The sequence below is a fragment of the Homo sapiens genome, chromosome X (assembly GCF_000001405.40).
Source record: "Homo sapiens chromosome X, GRCh38.p14 Primary Assembly".
NCBI lineage: Eukaryota > Metazoa > Chordata > Mammalia > Primates > Hominidae > Homo > Homo sapiens.
Window position 1 is genome coordinate 34,618,177 of NC_000023.11, and position 23,630 is coordinate 34,641,806.

The 23,630-nt window shown below is 36.0% G+C and overlaps 1 protein-coding gene across 1 annotated transcript in view; it reads right to left on the reverse strand.

Annotated features, from left to right (window-relative positions):
• Window positions 1-8,898: 8,898 nt before the first annotated feature.
• TMEM47 (transmembrane protein 47) overlaps window positions 8,899-23,630 on the reverse strand; it is a 30,211-nt gene continuing 15,479 nt past the window's right edge. Inside the window, exons 2-3 of the mRNA NM_031442.4 lie at window positions 21,071-21,211; window positions 8,899-12,315 (exon numbers count right to left, since the gene is read on the reverse strand). Of these exons, the coding sequence (NP_113630.1) occupies window positions 12,137-12,315; window positions 21,071-21,211 (320 nt within the window). The 3' untranslated portion in view covers window positions 8,899-12,136. The remainder of the gene's footprint in view (window positions 12,316-21,070; window positions 21,212-23,630) is intronic.

The following is a 23,630-nucleotide window of genomic DNA, read 5'->3' on the forward strand; positions in this document are numbered from 1 at the left end:
AAAAATAAATGACATATTAGCTTGGAAATGCTAGTCTGGAAACATTTTTCAGAAGAAGATTCATATGTAAGTCTTCTAAAATAAAAGGCATTAAAGAATAAGGACTAAGATATGTGAGACAATTGATTTCTTTTTTTTTTTTTTTTCGAGGCAGAGTTTCACTCTTGTTGCCCAGGCTGGAGTACAATGGCACGATCTTGGCTCAGGGCAACCTCCGCCTCCCGGGTTCCGGTGATTCTCCTGCCTCAGCCTCCCAAGTAGCTGGGATTACAGGCGTGCATCATCATGCCCAGCTAATTTTTGTATTTTTAGTAGAGACAGGGTTTCACCATGTTGGTCAGGCTGGTCTCGAACTCTTGACCTCAGGTGACCCACCAGCGTCGGCCTCCTAAAGTGCTGGGATTACAGGTGCTAGCCACCAAGCCCGGCCGATGTACTTAAATCTCAGATATTTTAATCCTAAGAGGTAACTGTGAAGTGAAAGTCCTTTACTTAAAAATAAGTAATAACTATATTTCATCAATTCTAAAACATATTTTTACATAATGAAATCAGAGTGCATCTTATAATCAATAATATGCTTAATTTCTGTCAGCCTAGATTGAAGTCAAGGTCTTTCAGAGAGAATTTTCACTTGCTTTGGCCAGCCAACTTCGGGTACTAGCCACCTGAGACCACTTTAAATTAAATTCTCTGCGTGAGGTGTTTTGGGTCACACTGGTAATGTGAATTCAGACCTCAAACCTGCCTAAATACTAACTGGTGGTTAAAATTTTCCACCCTATGCCAAGGTTGAGATATGAAAGTTCCCTTGCTATTTCTTTCTCTGTGGCCACACTATTGGGTCATGTAGTGTTGCAATGAAGGTATAGCCTTTGGTGTCTCTGTTTTATTTAGGGAGTTCCTGTTTGATCGCCTCTCCACAAAATCTTGGTTGCATTATTTCTTTCTTATTGGTACATAAAATCTTACAATCACTGGTGCCTTATTTTATACAAAATACAGGTTACAGGTAATTAGAGATTTGGTTTTGTTTCCAAAAGAAAATATTTAGCCCAGAATTGGATAGGAAGACTCAGATTGACGTTTACATGTATCATTTTGCTTAAGCACACATTAAATTTGATCAAAATCTTGCTACATACTCTATATTGTTAGTAAAAGTATCAGGTTGCAATAAGATTAGTGAACTTACTTTGAGAACTGTAAGTAATACCACAATATAAGGAATAATTATTTCTATGTGCATACTGCACTCCCAACTTGAATTCTAAGACCCTAGAAGTCTAAGATTATATTTTTAGTAATGTCCTGCTGCCTTGTACAGTATTGGGCCCATATTAAAGATGCAATAAAACTTGTTGAATGGTTGGAGAGCTGAAAAATGAACATATGAAATGAAATACAGTTGTAAGAAACACAAAAACTTCTGTAAATTTGTGTGGGTGTGTGTGTGTATACAACCGAATGCAAAGAAAAGGTCAATATCAGGACACAAGAGCAAAGACAGCTTCTGAGTCGATCTTCATTATGAAAATGTCTTGGCCTTGCCAGGATTTGATATTATGGAAGAGTGCTTGGGAGGAGATTGGAAATCCTATCTACAATGCTTGCTCCAACAGATTCAATTCACAGCCTTAGCAGGTAATAAAAGAAGCCTCTGGACCATGTAAGAGATTGCTCTGGCATAGCTAGGTGCATTGGCCATTTTATGTATTAATGCCAATCTCAGATAAATCACTTTTCTGGTCTGCTGTGGAAGAAAAGTGGATATTTCTTTCAGTAAGCGAATGGAGGATTACTGACTTGCTGACCTTTCCTGACTGTGATAAAAGATTACTTATTTCCTGTCAGCAATACTTCAAAAATGGAAATTGCTCTTTTAAAAGTACTATGTAAGAATGAAGTAGGGAGCCAGCTATTATTCCATAAATAGATGGTGGCAGAGGGCATCCCTTGGGAAAGGGAGAGTTCTCATTAGGCCTATTTTTCTGAGAGCTGTCAGTATGCATGTATTTGCATTTAAAGATTGTGGAGAAAGGAGGAAGCAAGTCTTGACCGGATATATTTTTAAGACTCTATTCTTATTCCTGCTACACTTAAATATAGTGTGTAAAATACAGCACTCTTAAATGCCTCATGCTATGTTTGTTATGTGGATTCTTATGTGATTTTCCTGATGAAGGAGTCAGGAATGCAAAATTATTTTACCCCACATTGTAAGATCCAAAGCAGAATGGAAAATAACAAGGCATGTATTTTCTTTTGACCCAGGAAATGTGACAGTTTCCTAGTATTTCAAAGACAAATAGCTTTTGCTACGCAGGCCATAGGAAAAGGGAATGGGCTAAAGGGTTAGAGTTTTCATTATATATGTCCAAGAGTCTTTTGAAGGCTTGAGAAATGTAAACAAATGAGAAAATTATAATGTAGACTACATAGTAATATCAAATACTGACAGAACTAAAATGGCCTGTCAGAAGTCCCCCCCATATTGCTCAAGTCTTTTTCTGTCAATCAAGTCTTATAGGGCTCTTCTTTCCATGGCAAAAGTTGTCAAAATCATCCCTTTGTCTTGTGTTCTGAGTGTATGTGGCTTTGCTACCAAACTTGAAGATACTGTTTACAACAAATTAGGGATGGTGTATTATACCAGTGGATACTTTTGATGATGAATCAATTTGTCTTAAGGGCCTAAGGCTATCTTCTGTCATACAGAATCAGAAAAATATCCATCAAAGCTTGATTGTCCATCAATCAATAGAACTTTGTTTTTCAGAATTAAAACTTCTCGAAGTGGAGGAAAAAAAATAAAAAATCTTCTCAAAGTGGATGCTTTTCTTTGGCCGCGGAAAAAAGCTGTGGAAATGACAGATAATTTGATTGCCTGTAATACACTGTGATTACAGCTATCAAAGTCATTCTACCACATAATTTAAACACCTAATTTCTTTTATTGTTTCTTTGCAAAAAAAAAAAAACTTTCCTTTTTTTGTAGGTGTTTATCTATGTCATAGGAAGCTGTCCTTTATTTGAAGGTCTTTATCTATGTCATATGTGCACTTGAGATTGGAATACATACAAGTCATAATCTTTTCACACACAAAAAAGAGAATAAGCAGATTTGCCTTTAGGAAACCTGATAGCAAGAGAGGGGGATTTTACTTCTCTTCTTTTATTTAACCCCAGGCTGACTTGGGAACACAAATGTAGAGACTAGGTCCTGACCTTGGGTTCAGTTGTCCGTACTTGTGTATAATCATTTTTTCATATGCACAGTCACTATGTTAGCCAAGGGATGATCTAACAATAGTTGTAACTGTTAGGCTGACTTGCTTAAGCAGTCATGTAGGTCAATTCACCAGAGATTTGGATGAGTAGAATCGTTGTCCGTAGTCAATTAACATGTCTGCTTCCACAAGTTTGGTTCTACCTGGGCTTGATTCACCTGAGCCCAAAGTGGCACTAGAGTGAAGGCGGTAGAAACCCCATTTGGTAGTTATTTGTGTGAGATATTATTGTAACATCCTCAAGAGCAGCCATAAGCACAAAGAAACAGTCAACTAAACTAGCATTACTGAAGAACACACATGAATGATGCTCTCTTATAGGCCAATGCAGAATGCCGATGTATCCTAAAGATAAGATGGAGAAGAAACTACCATGAGTGATTTCAGAGATTCCAGGACAGTTTTCATGTCATCTGAGAATGATTGATTTTCTCCCCTTAGCACATGACTTTGATCCGGAGAAAAACAAACACAAAAATGTAGAATTAATCCTAAAATGTTTTTTACTTAGTTATATTTTACTGTAAGACAATTGGAACCAACTTTTGATGGGACAGTAGAGAGTGCTTGGCACTCCCGGGTGGGATGGGAAGTTTGTAAACAAATCTTTGTGTACTTTTCAATTCCTTTTTGGAGAGTTAGCACAACATGAATATTGAACCATTTAAAACAAGGGTCTTCGTCAAGATTCTCTTGCATCCAACTAAACCTGGTTTAATCAAAACAGGAAATTATTGGAAGAACACAGGAGTATTTTATGGAATATAAGGCAACTTGACCTTACTAGGAACTGAGACCACCCACTCTTGTTCTCTTGACTACTTCTCTGTGCATATCTATTTCATTTCTTTATTCTTCCCAGTTAGTTTTCTTTGCATCTCTGCACACCCCAAAGCCCTGTAGTTTACGCATTTTATTACTAGCTACATGCAGAGACCAATTCCAAATTAATAGGCAAGAGAAACAGAGTGGCTAGCTAAAGGCAGGAACTATCTCTGTGTAATCATCTTTGACCAGGGGTGTAGGGTCATGTGGTACAAATGTGACTGCCTGCCAAATCTTCTGTTTGTCTCTAAGAAATAATTACGGGTGGAGCATAAACTCCAAAGTTAATCAATTCCATCAACCAGTCAGATTTCTACTCTTTTTTTTTTTTTTTTTTTTTTTTTTGAGACAGAGTTTTGCTCTTGTTGCCCAGGCTGGAGTGCAATGGCACAATCTCGGCTCACTACAACCTCTGCCTCCTGGGTTCAAGTGATTCCTCAGCCTCCTGAGTAGCTGGGATTACAGGCACCCGCCACCACGTCCGGCTAATGTTTTATATTTTTAGTAGAGACAGGGTTTTACCACAGGGTTTCACCATGTGGGCCAGGCTGGTCTTGAATTCCTGACCTCAGGTAATCCACCCGCCTCGGCCAGATTTCTACTTTTTCTCATACCTGCGCACTCTTATAGCATGCAATCATGACTAAATGGCAGCACTTGGAAGATCCAAATCTTTGACTTCCTTTTCCTATTAAATAACTTCCCCCAGTTCTTACTCTTTATATTTCCATAAGTTACAAACAATTTTAAAAGTGCTCTCATTTCAAAATAGATACTATACAAACCATTCAAAGTATATAAATGTATGCAATTTATACATATTTATACTTATGAATAAAAACCAGCCCAACTTCAGGAAAATAGCATATTACAAGTGATTTCTCCATCCAAACAGCACAGTAGTCAAACAAGCCTAACTGAAGCCAAGCAGCACTTTTGGTTTGAATGAGCATAAGAGGGCTTAATTGTTGTCTCATCTTTTAGAGCATTTCTGATTCAAAGGTGTCATGCAATCATTGGTAGCAGTAGTTTGCTGTATTTTGGCTCATACTTGTAACATCCTCAAAGCTCAAATGCCTGGCTAAATATGTACTAATGTTTATTGACTGTCTGAGACAGACAGGGAAAACTTATTTTTACTCAAGCCTGAACAATGGGGGAAAGTAACTCAAAATATTCCATGTCTCACAAGTTGGCTGGAAAGATAAGTGCTAAATACTGAGGTTTGAGAAATATACTGAGCAATGCATTTTGCAAAATTCCTCTCCATTATGAAGCAGTGAAAAATGCTAATGTCTTCAAAGAATATAACTGGAAATTTTTAATGAAACATTATGTCCCTATAAGGATTCCTATATTGTCAAATTTATGCCAGTGGGTTCAAATGGGAAACAGCATTTGTACCTTGTGGTCAAACGAGAAACATACTTTTCATGATTATAAGTGTTAAATGTTTTATCACAACTTATTTTGCTGCCTTCACACAAACCATGTGCCTCAAAGAATTAATACAACTGTAATAGCTAGATAGTGTTTAAGAAGAGAAATCACCTAAAAGTTAAAAATAGGAAAACTTGTGTTTGATGTCATTAAGTTGTCACATCACCACGGAGCACTGATATGGACAAAGAGGGACCTACTCTCCAAACATGCTTTGATACAGCAGAAGTTTGCCTGGGAGAGGTTATCAAGCATGATAGTATTATCTGCCTTTTTGTTAACATACAGTATCAAAGACTAGCAAAGTAGTCTTTCTTCTCCATTTAACCCTTAACGATATAACTCTCCATTCATAAGAACCTTAAGAGAAATGTTCCCCGCTCAGGTTTAAAACAATTCCTTCGATGTCTTCGTTAACTATATTTTACTTTAAAAATTAAATAGAATGTAGGGATGATTTTCATTTATTTTACCTTTATGATGACAAATTCAAAGCAAACTGAGGGGTAGCCTATGGTACCATCATTTCATATATGTCGTATTTTAGGCTTAATTCCATGACTGACCGCTCTCATCTAGTATAAGAGTGCCTTCACATCATCATAGACGTAGCTTCATACATGCAGATGTAGCATATATCGAATTATTTTTTAGATACAATTTTCTTCATTAATCCTTGTCACATGCAAAGATTGAAGTATTCAAGGTTTCTGGTGCTTCGATGGCATGATTTTCCAGTACTTGTTCCAAGCTTCTTTTATAACCATTATTTCTATGAAGTCATTCAACTTGGAAATAATTGCTTGCCAAAACTGAGTTTCTCTGGTGAACCACTCAACACAGCTTTAGTTTTACAAAGAACACCATTCTTTGTGTGCTGTTAATCTTGGCTTAGAAACACCACATATTTTCCTTCCCAACTGAACAGTTCAGCTCCTGTTCTTTTAGTTATACTTTGGAACCATGAGAGTTACTTGTAGAATACAAATGTGAGTCACCTAGCTGATGACTTTTTGGAAAAAGATTTTCCACGTATGTGTACATATATTATATATATATGTATATGGACACTCTGCCCAGGACATCATTCAGTAGCTGTTAGAAATGTGAGGACTTCTTACAGTCCCCAAGCCTACCTTGTATAGGAAAAACTGTTGGCATTTTATTACATGGAGTTTTGTTATCTAGTCTGATTTTAACTTATTGGGATTAAGGTGCCATGGTACCATGACCCAATACTTGACATAGAAGTTAAAAAGTCAAATAAATTAGTGCTTCCTGTGAAAATACTCTTAAGCACTTAATTCTAATTTCTGGTGGGTTTTTTTTTTGTTTGTTTTTTGTTTTTTTTCTGAGATGGAGTCTCGCTCTGTCACCCAGGCTGGAGTGCAGCGGTGTGATCTTGGGACACTGCAACTTCCACCTCTCGGGTTCAAGCGATTCTCCTGCCTCGGCCTCCTGAGTAGCTGGGAATACAGGCGCGGGCAACCACGCCCGGCTAATTTTTTTTATTTTTAGTAGAGATGGGGTTTCACCATGTTGGTCAGGCTGGTCTCGAACTCCTCACCTTGTGATGCACCTGCCTTGGCCTCCCAAAGTGCTGGGATTTCAGGCGTGAGCCACCACGCCAGGCCTAATTTGTGTTCTTTTAATTTTAGTTAACATCACACTTCTGAAAAGCTATGAACAGAAAATAATAGCATGAAAATTTGATAATTTAGGTATTCAGTAGTTTAGTCTACAGAATACAAAATAATTTCACTGTCAATTTACTTTGTAACCAAAATGACTTAAAAACCATCAAAATGGAACAGTGTTGACATAGCATGTGCCTGTTTTCATAATTCAAACTGCAACAGCCCATATGGCCATTATGGAAAAGTAAATTGAAATTGCTTTTCTGTTTTATGTTCACAATGAAAGCTCTGAAGGCAAAGGATTTTTTCTTGTCAAATTCTAGTGAAACTATGTCTCCATGTCTTCCAAATTCAGAGAGACTGGGTCATGGATAATTACTAGGCAAGCCATGTTTGTAAAGGTGATTTACTCAAGAGTATGCTGTATAAAAATGAAAGTACTTATACTGAAAATACATCAAATGAACGCTGCTACTCCATCAAATTAGAATAAGGCCACTGAAAAGGAAAATTTCTAAAATGACAGAAAAACTGAAAAGGTTAGAAGTTATAACTTAAGTATGGCTACATTTGAAAGTGTGATATTAAATATATCATAGGCTTACAGGGGATTTGTAATATTTTCTTCTTAGCAAAACAAATATACTGTGATCTTTGCAAAATGTAATGGTTCCTATGAGACATGAAAAAACGTCTTGATGACAAATATATGTTTTATATTCAAACTGATTTTATCAACACAAGAAAGTTTGCTCAACTATGGTTCTATTTATATCTTCGAGAAAAATTTTTGGGCCAGGTGCAGTGGTGCACGCCTGTAATCTCAGCACTTTGGGAGGCCAAGGCAGCAGATAGCTAGAGCTGAAAAGTTTGAGACAAGTCTGGGCAACATGGCAAAACCCCATCTCTACAAATACAAAAAATTAGCAGGGCATGGTAGCACGTGCCTGTGGTCCCAGCTACTTGGAAGGCTGAGGTGGGAGGATCGCTTGAACCCGGGAGGCAGAGGTTGCAGTGAGCTGAGATTGCGCCACTGCACTCCAGGCTGGGTGACAGAGTGAGACTCCTTTTCAGGAAAAAAAAAAATTGGCATACATGCAAGTGAATTTTATTGAATGTCTAATTTAAATTGCTTTTTCACATATTCTCACCATTTATATACATCAAAGGGTGATGAATTTTGACTTTATCAGTTTCTTCACACATGCACATTGCACACACACATGCTCATGCACACACGTTCATGCACACATACTCATGCACACATACACACTGAATTTTTAGTCTTTCTAAGAGATAATACAGACAAGCTGGCTTTAACACTCTGCAAACGTTGAAAACTACACAAAGAACAAAATACCATATCAAACCCTTTGACTAATCATTTCCAATTGTGTGATTAGAGTCGGAATAAGGGAAGCCTGCACTACATCTCCTTTGAGTACATTTTAAAACAGAAGGTTATAAAAGATATTTAATAGTATCCCTTTATCACTGACCGTGCAAAGGCTGTGGAGAATAGAAGGATCTTGGGAGATAATTTGTAATAAAAAATTTAAAAATGTTTTCAAGTAAAATCAGCATGTCATATTAAGATGTTTTCTAAATAATATATATTTTGAAGGAGAAAATGTAATGAATATATGTAATTTAGAAGCGTTGTCTAAAGAGTTTACACAACAGAGACGACACAAATTCAAACCACATCCGTGAAATCACTTTTATTTTTATTTTTTTCCACATAGATGACTTCATGTCAACTACAAAAATCATGAAATGAAGAACTGATTGTGAAACTGCAAACTCAAAATCACTGGAGTGATAAACAGGTTTTCCCCCAGATGACTTAAAAAAAATAACCAGGATACCATGAATTCATGTTTAAGTAGTAAACATGTCATATATTTAAAAATAATAAATATAGAATAGCAGTACAGAAACTAATAGCATAAACAGCATGAAGTATATTTTACTTTTAAGACAGATGAAATTTCTAGGCACAGCTTTAGGCATTAAAGAGGACACAGAGGCATAGGTTAGAGTGCACTGCTCTGTACAAAAATACAGTCTGAATAAATTACATTGCTAGCCATACAATTAGACGTCACTTACCAGTCAGTTCATTGCATGTTTAATAATATACAGGTACATGCTAATCCATATATATCATTTATATTCAAACACATAAGTCTCTCTATATTTATGTCTTTAAAATTTACATGTTGAACTTACAAAAAGCTAAATAATTGTGCAAGAAATCGGAATAACTAGCCCTGCTGAGTATTTTATGCTATATGTGTGTGAGTATATATATGTGTGTATATCTATATCTATAGATGTAGATCTATATCCATAGATATCTATCTAACAATGGGTTTGTGGCTAAAAATTATGCTTAAGAACACATCTAACAAACCTAAAGCTGCAAAGACATAATGTTAATGTAGGTGAAAATTTCACTTGTGTTTATTCTGATAGACAAAATTGTATTTTAGATGAGAAGCAACAATTTTCATGTTGTACTGAGATTGTTAGTAATGAAATACTTCCAAATATTAGTGATGGTAGAAATCTAGTGTAGGGCTCTTTGCTGAGAAGGGAAAAAAGTCACATAAGAAATCTACTTTTCAGTAAACTGCAAATATGTGTGCTTCAACCTATAACATATTCTGTCACTTTGAGCTTGTCATATTGACAGAGAATGAAAACTTGATAAGACTCGAGATGTGATGATATTGGTTTAACAGTACACTGCATCCTCTACTAGGACCAAGAGAAGTGCCTCATTGGTGTCAGCACCAAAGTACTATTCTTTCATTATTCAGGAATAAAGAGATCTCAGAACAGAGAATGTTTAGTTGCTGAAATCCCTATCCAAATATCATATTTCTCATGCTGCTCTGACAATATGCAATTAACTGCAAGACACTCTGCCCCAGATTTTACTATTTCTCAAAAAATTGCTTCAAAAGACTCTATAATACTATCTTTCTGGAGAATTTCCACTCATAATTTCTAATGATTCTTTATAGAATCATATATTTTTATAAAGGTTTCTGTCTGTGATGTATTTATTCGCTTTTGTCTATCATTGCTAAAGTAAGACTAAACCTGGTACTTCATATTCGTGATTTTATAGAAAATTCATGTGTGTTTTCTAGCATTTGGATAATAAAATAGGTTTTTTTTTTTTGGCTGTTGTTTTTGGCAACCATTCTTAAGACAAGCTGAAAGAAGAACTGTGTTTTGGGAGGTAAAACAAATTATTAAATACTATCGATGTGGTCCTGCTCTTAACAGATTTTGCAATACAGTAACATATAGCTACTTTTAAAGTAATTTTTCTAATGCTTCTTTCTGCAAGAGGGCCAAAACCAGAACATACTGTTTTAGTGTCTTTGTTAACAAAAATAATTATTTATAACTTTTATATTAGAACTGTATATTTGATATAAAAATATGTTTATAATTAAGCTATCCAAATTTGTATATTAAACAGAATTAACACAAGTTTGCAGCATGAGATTAGTTGCAAACTTATTCCCTATTATTAATACTTCCTTCCATTGAACAGTCAGTAAGTAATTCCCTTAACATAAATCCATCCTAAGTGTGTGCACAAATCGGTTAGCCCATCAGTTAACTTCAGAGGACCAGGTGATAACCAGATGAATTCTACTCCTCTACTGAGACATTTAGATATTTATATAAATCTATCGCTATTCCTTTCTTAAAAAAATGAAGACATTTAAAATACTTGCAAAAAATAGCAGCCTTCTATTTTAATGAATTTTACACAAAATGATCATCCTAATTGCTACTCTCTTTTCAACTACAGTGCTTACAGAGAATCATTAATTTTCAGATTAACACCATTTCAATTTTTATTCTTAGGCAACTCTATTGACACTTTCCAGTGAAACAGTAAAGAACATAGAGCAAAAGCTTTAAGGTACCATACTTTTGTATGGTAAATAAGTATGAATACCAATCTAAGCCTCTTAACAATGTGTACAAGGTTAGTGCTCAAACCACTTCACTAGAGTAAATATTAATTTTACGTGTGATAGGCAAATGTATGTGGAGGGTTAGGGAACAACTTATTACCATTTATACTAATGGTTCACCTTCTATAAAAACAGTGAAGCTTGTTACATACGCACACTTGTTTGCTGCAATGTTTGGCAAATGATTTAAAGGGTACAAAAGCAACTCATGCAGATTTCTTTCTGTTTGCCCCAGGAAAAACAGAGATCCTCAATTTTTCCCCAGTCTAGATAGGGCTGAGGCACCAATTTCTAACCACATAATGAGAAGCACATGTCTCCAAGTCTTGACTCTCTTCCCAGGGAGACGCTGATTGCCAAAGCATAACCTCCCATTAAAAAGAGTGTTCCTGAAGGTGGAATGTGTATCATTAACCAGTTACATTCACAACTCCCATTAGATGCTGAAGGGCAGTTCATTTTTCAAGGGCTCACTCAAGCAAATAACCAACAGCCAATGTAGTCATTGGGTAGGATAAGCAGGCGGTAAGGGCTCTAACAGTGGAATCCTTGTCAGCGCAAAGGAACTTCTAAATGTTGCTTATGCCAACTGCTCCCCTGCAGGCAATAGGAGATTGAGGCAAATCTCATTCCAACTAGTTTCTCACAATGGTTGCTGTCATATAGACCCTTCATTTGTCAAGAAAAACGATATGAACATATTGGAAGTTTGCAGCATTTGCCTATGTCTAATCAGCTCTCTTAATTTGTGCAGATTTCTAAAATGGATGTAAAAGCTGGTTATGATGTTGACAGCCAAAAGGCAAAAAAGATTAAATCAACTGAGCAAACTGCTTGATGCTCCACAAGTGTTTTAGAAAATAGTAAGTTAGAAAAGATGCAGACGTAATCCTTTTGTTGGATGGTGGTGGTTGTTTTTACTTTGAGACTATTGGTTCTAGTAGTAGTCTTCATAGTTCTTAGGGTTCAGGCAATAAAGGATGGCACCCCCAAACGAAAATATAGTTGCACCCCAGGCCAGGCCATAACCCCAGTTGAACTCATGGTAAATTTTCAAGCTCACAGTTTCAATGAACTTGATTGGGTAAAGGACCAGGCTGCAAACCTGTAAAACAACTGAAAGAAAAGCAAATCAAAATTAGAAAATGTTATTTGCAGCAAATAAAATAATATAAATATGTAACTATATATGTATGAGAGTAACTTTGTAATCAAATATACATAAAAGCCAAAAATTTTAAAGATGGCTTGTTCTAGATGGTATACTTTAAAATACTAATAATTTTTTTGTTTAAATACCTTTTCCCAATATATAAGAATTATCCTATTAATTAGTAAATCATTATTAGTATAGATAAAATAATTAGTGCAATATAATAATTTATATGAGCATACAAAGTAGTGATTTTCACCTTAAAAATATAATTATCATTATTATTATGGCAAGTAGTACTAGTTAAACTAAATTGTGCCACTAATAAACCGTATAAGTAGCTCCTCAAGAATAGTGACCCCAGCCAGGTGCGGTGGCTCACGCCTGTAAATCCAGCACTTTGGGAGGCCCAGGCAGGTGGATCATGAGGTCAGGAGTTCGAGACCAGTCTGACCAACATGGTGAAACCCCGTATCTACTAAAAATACAAAAATTAGCCCAGTGTGGTGGTGTGCACCTGTAATCCCAGCTACTCAGGAGGCTAAGGCTGGAAAATCGCTTGAACCAGGGAGGGGGAGGTTGCAGTGAGCTGAGATCATGCCACTGCACTCCAGCCTGGGCGACAGAGCCAGACTCTGTCTCAAAAAAAAAAAAAAAAAAAAAAAAAAAAAAAAGAATAGTGACCCCAATGCCAACTGAAACTCTTGTTATTTATTTATGCTATTAAGGAATTAGGAAATTCAAATTAATTTCTACTGATGCAACTGGTCATCCTGTGAGTGATAATGTGCTTTTGATGTTGTTGCTGCTTTGCAATACTAACTCAGCCCAATATGCCAGAAAGTCTCACCATGATGTCTTTGCTTACATTACTCTGATCCAAAGCTACTTTCATTATTTTCTTCTCATCCACTCTATGCCTCTTGTCTTTAAAAAGTGGCTTAAAAGTTATTAACAGATGATATTTTCATATCTGTTTTCCACCTACTTTCAAAAAAGAATTAAGTCGATAAAGGCAAGAGAGATAATGGTACAGGAAAACCTAGGCCAATTATGGCTACTGTAACAGAGGTCAAAACTTAGCTCTTAGTCCCTGGTTAGATCCTACTTCTGTCAGGGCCAAAGGGGAAATATGATTAGTCATACCGAATAAAATAAACCAAAATAATCAGGAAGGGAATGTTTATTTTGTTTTTGTTTTGTTTTGTGTTGTTTCTACTATCTAAAATAAAATGAAATTTATGTTGTGGATATGCACAAGACATAATGTCTTCCACTTAAAATTCTTAACTTCCTATTAGATCAATTATTATGTAATTTTATTTTAATTAGTTTAACTACAATTAGTTAACTACAGCTTCATTCTCTACCATAGGACAGCTTCCACCCTCAAGAAATAGACAATCTTTTTCCCTAAAAAATACAGAGTACAGTTATATTTAACAGGGGTTGGCAAACTACCAAATCTGGTCTGCTTTTTGTTTTTGAAAAAGTTTTACTGGAACACAGCCACACTCATTCATTTACGTATTTTCTATGCAACAATGGCAGAGTTGAGAAGCTGCAAAAGAAACCACACAGCTCACAAAGCCAAAAGTATTTACTTTCTTGCCCTTAACAAAAAAAGTTTGCTAACCTCTGATATATGAAATAATTTTAGGGGGTAAAATAATTTTTGTTTAATTCATCTGAAAAGAACAAAAATGTGAATAATTAAAGAAAAGGAGGGAACAAACTGACATAGTAAAACTATATACATAAATAGTTTTGATATCGCTTATATGTTTTAAAAAAGAACACTAGGATGGATAGAGTGTTTAATTAAAATGGAATTTTATGTTTTAAAATGTACTCTCATCTATTTTTAGCCCATGTAAAAGATTATTACCAGTATGATGAAGATTCCTAGAAAGTCTACATAACAGTCATCTTTCTCTCCCATAAAACTGATGAAATACAGCAAATTCATGAGGAAATGATTCCTCAAAATTTCTTTCTATAAGGCTCTGGCTAGGTGTCAAAGGACCGACCTAGAACTAGATATAAAAACACCCAACATTTCTGCCGTGTAGCACAACACTGCTGAGTCAGCACTTTGCCTACCATTACTACTGAGAGTGGATACACAAGTAAGTTTGTATAAGAGGATACCCTACTGATATCCAAAATAGAAATCAGACCTTCTCAGAAAAGGTTTTGGTTGTTGTTAGGACTCAGCTGACGGCATATTGTATGACCCACACTTCATCTATTTCCAGTTAGTAAGTGCTAAAATGTGCATTAATTTTAAAAAAAGCCCAGTTGGCTCTTTGCCTTTGTGAGGAAAAGGGAGCTTTCATGTTTTAAATGTCTTAAAACTAACAAGAAGTCAATTACTATCAACCATAACTACAGAGAAGAAAATTCCAAAGTTGCCAAGTACATTTGAAAAAAAAAAGGCACTTCTCCTTAGGTTTCTATACTCTGTTCACTCGTCAAATCTGTACTGATCCTACCAGGATATGACTGAAACAAGAATGTGGGTTAGGTATAGTAATTCATTTACTCATTCAATAAATGCATCCATTCAATAAATATCTGAATGTTTCTAAAGCGATACAGTTTAAGGCATTATGCTATCAAAAGAGACAAAGCTGCTACTCTCATGGGTAGTCAGTCCATTAGTAAACAAATATAGAATATAATGTCACATATTGCTAAGAGACAAGAAATGCAAGAAAGCAGACAGAACACAGGGATGAGGGCTGCTCTTTTAGATCAATCGTGAGAGAAGGCTGCTCTGAGGAGGAGATATTGAGCACAGATCTGAATGAATTGGGGGTGCAGAACAACATAGTGGGGACTGAGCATTCCCACGTGAAAGGCATAGGCACTGCAAAACTCCCATCACAGGAGCATATCTGGTGCACTGGAACAGAAGTCAGAAGGCTGTGATTGCAGTACAGAGAGCAGGAAGGGAGAAGCATGAGATATGATGGAAGAAACAGCAGGGGCCCTTCGTGGTTCATGGACAGCCTGTGAACCATATCTGGGGTCTAGATTTTATTCTACGTGTGACAGGCAGCTGGTAGAAGAGTTTGAGCAGAGAAGTAATAACTAATCTGAATTACTCTAAAATGATTACACTGCTTCTTTTGTGAACTGACTAGTCCCTGGAGTGAGGTGTTTACCTACGCTGCTTTTAATATTCATTTCAACGTGTTTTATTTAGCAAATATTTGGCCTCCATGGTATAATATAATGATATAATTTCCCTCTAGTGGAAAAATGGAAATACAACTCCATTAGGCCCTACTGGCATACTCTCCCGAACAACTTTCTTAGACTTTTATTGTGTTGGAGCTCAATAAAAATTACTGTAAAACACTTCATGCCTCTGAATTATTCGACTCCCTTTGGAATCACAGAGAAAAATGAATGTAATAGCAAAACTGAGAAAAATATAATTCTGCATTTGTAAATAATTTTCTCCATGTAATAAAATTCACAGATGTAGGTAAAAATGCCTCCTTGCCTTTCATAGATGCTGTAGAGGGAAGAAAAAAAAAACATAAAGAGTTCAGAAGTCAGGAAAATGCCATTATACTATATTTCTATTTTACTACCAATCAATGAAACAAAATAGGCATTGGATATGGTATTCTCTATGCTCTTCCTCAAAGATAACATAGGTACAGCTCTGGAACATTTTAGAATCTTAAGAGATTTGGGGTTCATTTTATGCCCCCTGCACTTTTTTGAAAACAGGCAATGAAACTACTAACCATGAAATTGTGTGGATCAGAGGCATGACGGGAATGTAGACCTACTAATTCTTGTGTTTTATTCTAGTTTTAAAGGGATATTTTTCAGTGTTTTCAACACTAAAATATTCAAAGCATTGATATTGAAATATTCAATATTTTCTTCTAAGAAGGACATTTCACTATTTTGATAAACATATATTGGGTGCCTACGTGCTAGATGAAGGGGATAAGATAGATAAGACATGGCCCTCGCCCTTTGATGATTCATACTCTGATGGTGGAGACAGGCACACAAGTAATTATAAATCAATGCATTCAACAGCAATAGTAGAGGCATGCATGTTTGTTTATAATATGTTCAACACACATTTACTGAGCTCAAACATTGTGCCAAGTACTGATTCAGCTTAGAGAAAGAAAGGAGGGCTTCAGAGGGACATCATTTGAATTGGTTCTTAAAGGATGGATGAAAGGTGGTCAGAAGAGGCAGAGGAAAGAAAAGACGTCTAGGAAGACAAAGCATATTCTATAGTGCTTACAGCTATTAAGAGAGTATGACTAGAAGCAATTTGCATGGGTAAAATGAAGGGCGCATGCACAAGGCTGTTTAGTTCATACTATAATACCATAGTGTTTCATAAAGTAATAAACTTTTGTTTCTCTAGGGAGACCATCTGCGAGGTTATTGTAATTGTATATGCGGTTGGTGTCCTATCCATATATTTTTATCTTCCCCACTTCAGTACATGCTACCCTGACTTCCAATTGCCAGCACCTGTATTTCTTTGCCTGAGTTACCTCTGGCCACTAAAGCCTCTTCAGCTGCCTATGGGGCAGGCCAGGTCCAGAAAATTAACACTGCTCTCCCTTGATTATAACCGACATTTCTCAACCAATGACGCTCCAAATTTGGTGCATTAATACTCCAGCTCCGTAGTCCTCTGAATGAGATTATTCTCGAGGTGCGTGTTCTACACCGGTTTTTAAAGTTTCCCCAAGAAGATTAAGCTCCAGCTGCTTCGAGTGACAACTGGCTTGATAATGTAACCTTTTAATGGCTGCTTTCCCATTCCCGTCTCATTTTCCATACTCTTTATCATATCCCTTCTTCTACCTTACAAATAAAGTATATGCACTTGATTTCTCGTCTCAGGGTTTGCTTCTGAAGAAATCAAAGGGACAAGTGACAAGACCAGATGTTTATGTCACAAGGAGACCTCATGTGTTGTATCCAAGACAGATTACATGGGGAAGAGATTAGAGAAGGACAGGCCCCTAGAAGGTCATTCAGTGTGTGGGGACCTGTAGGCAGTGATGACTAAGGTGTCATCAGTGGGAAAGAAAAGTCAGGGAATCTAAAGAAAGACTAAAAGAAAGAACTGAAAAACTAGATACTCAACAAGGCAAAATAAAGGAGTCACATAAACATCTTAAAACAGTCAGATATTGCCATAGAAAAACAAAATAAAGTAGGGGAAGACCAAATTTGGGGAATGAGACGTTCCATTTAGGGAAAAGTTGTGGCCTCGACTAAGGCAATAATGATGGTGTACGAAAAAAAGGTACAAAATTAGGAGATAATTTAAAGGCAAAGGTTGATAGGCCCTACCAGCCAGGTTGGTCCCTAAATATAAAATTGACATAAAAGAAACAATGATTTGGAGAATAAAAAGCATTTGCCAGTGGAAGGTTAATATGAAGGTATCCATTTCTTTTCTTTTTAAAATTTAATTTGTAACTACTAGTGGCAGCAGTATGAAATTAATTATTGGGAAGTGATACTGTAAATTGTTCTAGCCGAAGTGTAGTTTGATAACGGTACAGGGAAATTAACATGTAATCTAAATATCCTGAATAGAAGAACTCTCTTTTAGTTTGAAATCTAAACTGGACACTGATTTTTCTACCAAAATCTAGACTTGAAATGGTTCCAGCTATCTCACTGTGACTTATAGGATGGTGATGAGGGCTGTAAGACACAAGCCTCCAATCAGAGATAGCTCAGAGATGGAAATCAGCTGCAGGACCCTGAAAAAACATCACCTTTCTATAAAAACAATCCTTATAGGAGGCTTTCTGCAGATATAACATAAAGAATCATCCTTAATAACATAATAAATGGGGATTCTGTATGTAAAATCGAATTATAAAAGAGAATTTTCTGCAATTTGTATTAAAGGCCTTGGAAAGAAAGAAAACACTCATCCTATATTCCTGTGGGACATACAAATGACCTGCGGATAGTTCAAAAGTAGACAATAAAAGAAGAGAACGTGGCAAGAGGCAGTCCCTCTAATTTCACCAAGTCTTTAGTGAGAACTGGATGCCAGTTATCAGAATCACATCATATATTACCTATCACTGTCAGTTACACAAAAAGAAATATGCTGTAGTCAACTGTACTGGAAATGTGCACAACTTTCATTATGTGCTATGGTGCAGTCATGCTGCATCAATCAGTTTGTGGTCTTTATGACATCTCAAGGTACTAAATGCCTTCAGGTGTTGCTCCCGAGAAACGGAGTAACTGGAGTTACAGGACGGACTCCAACTGCAGTGCACAGTTGGCAACTGAATTCAAAATCAAGGCTGATTCTGCACTGATTTTTCCAATATGTGATATGTACTGAAGTAAAGATAACTGGGGAATCCTCATTCGGGCTTTCAAGTCAGATAGGTATCCTGAATTTAAACCCTAGATGTACAACTTACTAGTTAAAATGACCTTGGGAAATTACTTAATTTTTCTGAACCTGTTTCTTCATTGATAATACGGAGAAAATAAATATCTAACTTTGAGATTGTTATATCAGAGACAGTGTATGTTAAGTGTCTAGCACGTGGCACATGACAGGTGCTTAATTAATCATTCTTATCAGCATTATTATTATAAAAATATCTAATTCTGAAGTCTAGATTTATAGGACTGGTGAGAAAGAGAGTTGTGGAAAAAAGGACAGTGTTTTAGATGGGCTACAGCAATGGCTAGCTCTTAGCTATTCTAGCAACTATTCAAGAAGGTAATAAGCCCGCCCTAAATAAAAGACCTCAGAGAAAAAAAAAAGAAGACAAAATCTTTATAATCTGTTTGGCTATCTTTATGAGACTTAATTATCAGTTTTCAGTAAAAACCCTTAGAGTATATTTTATAACACCAAGACTGTCTACTTGTATAGTGTAAGTGCCCAACATATTTATTAAATAAATAAAAACATAAATATATGAAAAAACATCCTTTTGATATTTATTACTTTTTTGAGGTCTTTTGGTCTTAGCTTTGTAGTCATGTGAAACTAGCTGCTTCCTAAGACCCCAAAAGAGAAATTGCTTAAAAAAAACCCTTCATTACAGTTACTTATTTGTTTACATGCCTGTTTTACCCCACCAGATTATGAGCTACATGCCTTAGTCATTTTTATATCATTCATTCAAAAACTATTTATTGAGTGTATATGAGTACCAGGCATAGCACACGGTACTAAATCAAGTAAGTGTGAAGTCTCGGATAGAGATGTTTCCAAGCGGTAGTAGTAATGTGTCTGTTTTGATTTTATGTACTGCACATGTCTCGGCAGAAAAAGGTACTTTTATTATTTTTTTTTCCTTGAGATAGAGTCTTACTCTGTTGCCAAGGCTGGAGTGTAATGGTGTGCTGTCGGCTCACTGCAGCGTCAAGCTCCCAGACTCAAGTGATTCTCCCATCTCAGCATCCCGAATAACTGGGACTAAGACTTCAAAATATTTTTTGAAATTGTGCTTTCTACTCTATTAGTGAGTATCTGTGGTGATACTGTGGCCAGTTTTATAGGTGTCTAATACTGTGTTTAGCCTGTAATAGGCATCTAAGAAATAGTTGCATAAATAAGTGAGGAAGTCAGTGGTTAATGAACCACTAGATTAAGATTCAGAAGCCTCCCAGGCCCAGGTCTGCCAGTAGCTACTATGCGATCTTGAGCAAGTCACTTAAAGATTTGAATTAGATGTACTTCTGGATTCCTTCAGCCCTTTGGACCTTCATTTTTATGACACCCCCAATTCTGACCAGCCTTCATGGGTATAAGAAAATGAACACAAACAGTAGGGGGCAGCAGAACACTTCTGTTTTGTATTTTTAGCTCCAACTACCCTTTAAATCCTGAGAAATTTCATCTATTCCAATCTTGAAACAGCTTTTAAAAATCCATCTAACAGCCTAGATGGTTTTGTCAGTGTCTTCATTATTGATAGTCACAGAAGCTTACTTTGCAGTCTTCAAATCAGATATGACTGACAGGGCAAACTGAAGGCACCACAGAATATTGCAGTTTGAGTCAAAAAGAACAATATATTCAAAGGTATTTTTATAAATGAAAATTAAAGCTCACATCAAATCATGTATTGGGCTTTTAGTCTGCAAGCCCCTTTTCTAAACAGTCCCGTCTTTTCATTTCATTGGTTGATATTTTAATCCAAGCTGTGCTTCATACAATGATGGTTGATAAATTAATTAACATACAATTGACTTCATATAATTGACTTGTCTAATGGTTGGAGTCATACATCACACATTTTCAAAGAGATATACATCTTTAAGGGTAAACATTTTGGAATTTGTTTTCAGTTCCTTATCAGAAAAAATAATGCTGCCTTAAGATCACCAGGGGAGCAGTAAAAAAGGGGAAAAAACTGGATGTAAAAGACTGTTAGTAAATACACCTGCTGCAATTCCTAAGGTAATAGCCCTGTCAGGCAGTATTATTTGTTCATGCTTTAGTCAGAGGTTTAGAAGCTGCCATTGTGCTCTGTGAAATGCTTAACACACTGAAAACTGATAATCTGATAAACCTTTAGCCAAGTTACCTTAAAAATATAGTAAATGCCTCTCAATTTTTACGTAATGCAGCAAACACATACCTCTTCTGCATAGGAAAGGAAGATGGTAGAAAGGTTCATGAAACTTTAATACTCATTTGAAAGTAATGAATCTGTTTACCTGCTGCAAAAAGCATGACCGCAACAGGTCTATAGAAACGCCTTCGAGATCCCACGCAGATAGAAATCAAACCCACCAGGAATGCAATGAGAATGATGGCAGCGCCGCCCAGGAGTAAAGCCAGAGTAGCAATCTGCCAATCTGGAAAGAAAAAAGAAATTGTTTTTGAGTAGTAAGTCCTCAAAGAATCAACAGAACTATGTTCAGCAGCCTTCACCTTGCAGTGGCTCAACAGATGTGATTTTACTGCATGCTAAGCATCCTTTGGGGTTTGAAATGTTTTGCAACAAAAATGAATAGGAAATGTCCTTATTCAGAAAAGTCTCCTATGCTAAGCTCAGCAGAGTTTTAGACCAGGGGTTTGCTAGGATTTTCTTCCAAGGACTCTATTAGGCATTCATGTTAAATCAAGTGTCCCCTCCATGACCTATTTTCAATATTATTATGATTTAAATTTTTATCGAGCAATAAAGTTCACAAATCTTAAGTATAGAAAGTAGAGAAGTTGATGAATTCTTATAGATATTTATACACCATCCAGATTAAAATACAGGGCATTTCTATCACCCAGATTTTTCTCTTGCGCCCCTTCCCAGTCAATAATGACCCTCCCACCTGGGCTACTGAGGACATCCGTCACCACAGATTGAGTTCTGCCTTCTGTTAAACTTCATATAAATGGTATGAACTATTTTGTGTCTGGCTTTTAAGTTTCTCATATTCATCCATGCTGCATGTGACAGTAGTATATTCTTTTTTTTATTGCTATTTCTTGGAAAGCCTTCCTTAACCATATAAAAATCTCCAAAGTTTTTATTTGTCTCTCCTCCACTCCCTCTAAAACAACTCCCCATCAAATTAGCATCAGGAATATTGTTTGTTTTTTCCACTTCTTTTTTATTTGATTCTAGTTTCACTGCTGTATTTACCATCACGGGTGTGGTTTCTAAAATTAAGTATTCCCAGGGAGCCAGAATGGACTCTGAATGGCTGCTCGGCCCCTTCATTCATACACGGAAACAGTAAGCATATATTGACCACTTACTATGTGCAGGCCTCTGTTCACAGATACTTCCAAACAGTTTCTCACACTCTTAGTGACACATAAACCTTATTGAAATGCATTCATTTCTTATAAAACAAAAATGTAGAAATAGTATGATGAAAAACTGGCCCATTTTCCATTCATAAGAATGGTAAAATATTCTCTCAGAAGAGACAAAGTGAATCTATGAAAGTACTATACAGGTTGGGAAACATCATATAAAACGATACTATGGAGAGCAGCAGTTGTTTAAAAGCCCCAAGCGCCTCTTCTGGCCCTCAGTTTAATGTAAGTGCAGAAAATGCAAATGGATTTTAATCTATCATTAAATTGCAATGGATTCTATCCTAAGTCCAGAAGTCATGATATTTTGATGCTTCCCTCTGAAATTATCCCCCCAGAAAGCTTCCAAAATGCACTCTTTGTTACGGTAGGATAAACGATGAGCAGAGGAATTGCCAATACCCTAAGATTTTCTTTTATTTATATTTGTACATCCCTGTCTCAAGCATCCTCTTCCACATCTTCCCCTCCTACGAAATTGTGGAAGCTTCACAGGCTCTCAACTAGAACTTGCACTGCAATCAAGAAACAAACAAACAAGGGGAAATTGAACAAATCCAAACTTCTTAAAATATAAAGATGAGTCACAACAAAGTGGAGAGCATCTTCTTAATGCCATCTATTTGTAACAAAGCCATACAACTTCAAACAAAAGTAGATCTGGCTTTTAACTAGAAGTTAAAAGGCTAGCCATACTGGGCTTTTTTATTCCATAACAGCATGTAGCTTTGAATTAAAAAGCCAAAAAAAAAAAAATAGTCCTTACATTTGAAGTCTCTAAATTTCTTGGGAAAAGTTTACACAAGTGCACAATTATATTGCACTTTGGCATGATGGAAATCCTTCTAAAAACAGGTGTGTAAATTGAAATTTCTGAATTAAAAAAATCAAAGTTTAATTATATAAAAGTGTACAATGAAAAAAATAAAATCCATCCATCCATCCATCCATCCATCTATGCAATTCCTGGAGAGTTTGATTAAGAAAGCCTATGCTCCATATGTTCTAGTTGGTCTATTACTCTTATAGAACGATTATTACTGTTAGCAACTTTCCCTAAATTATTTTACATAAGTAAAAACTTTAAAGCATTGGATTCATTTAAATCAAAATGTAACTAAATATCTACCCATATAAAATATCTTAAAGTGAAAGTGCAATAGATTGTTTTTTCCTGATTAGCTCTTTCACATAGCTCAGTGTGAAAAAAAATGCCACACATTTGACTCTTCACTTTCAGCCATAATTCAAACAGGAATGAATTTTGATCACTTTTCTCTATTTTAAATATCCTCAAAAAAATAGCTAAAATACACGTTTTGCATTTTGTAAAGACAGACTAAGGTAGAAAATGATAAGCAAACTTTCCATATAAAGGGCCAGACGAGAAATATTTTTGGATTTATGATTTATGGTCTCTGTTGTACCCACTCAACTCTGCATGATAGTGTG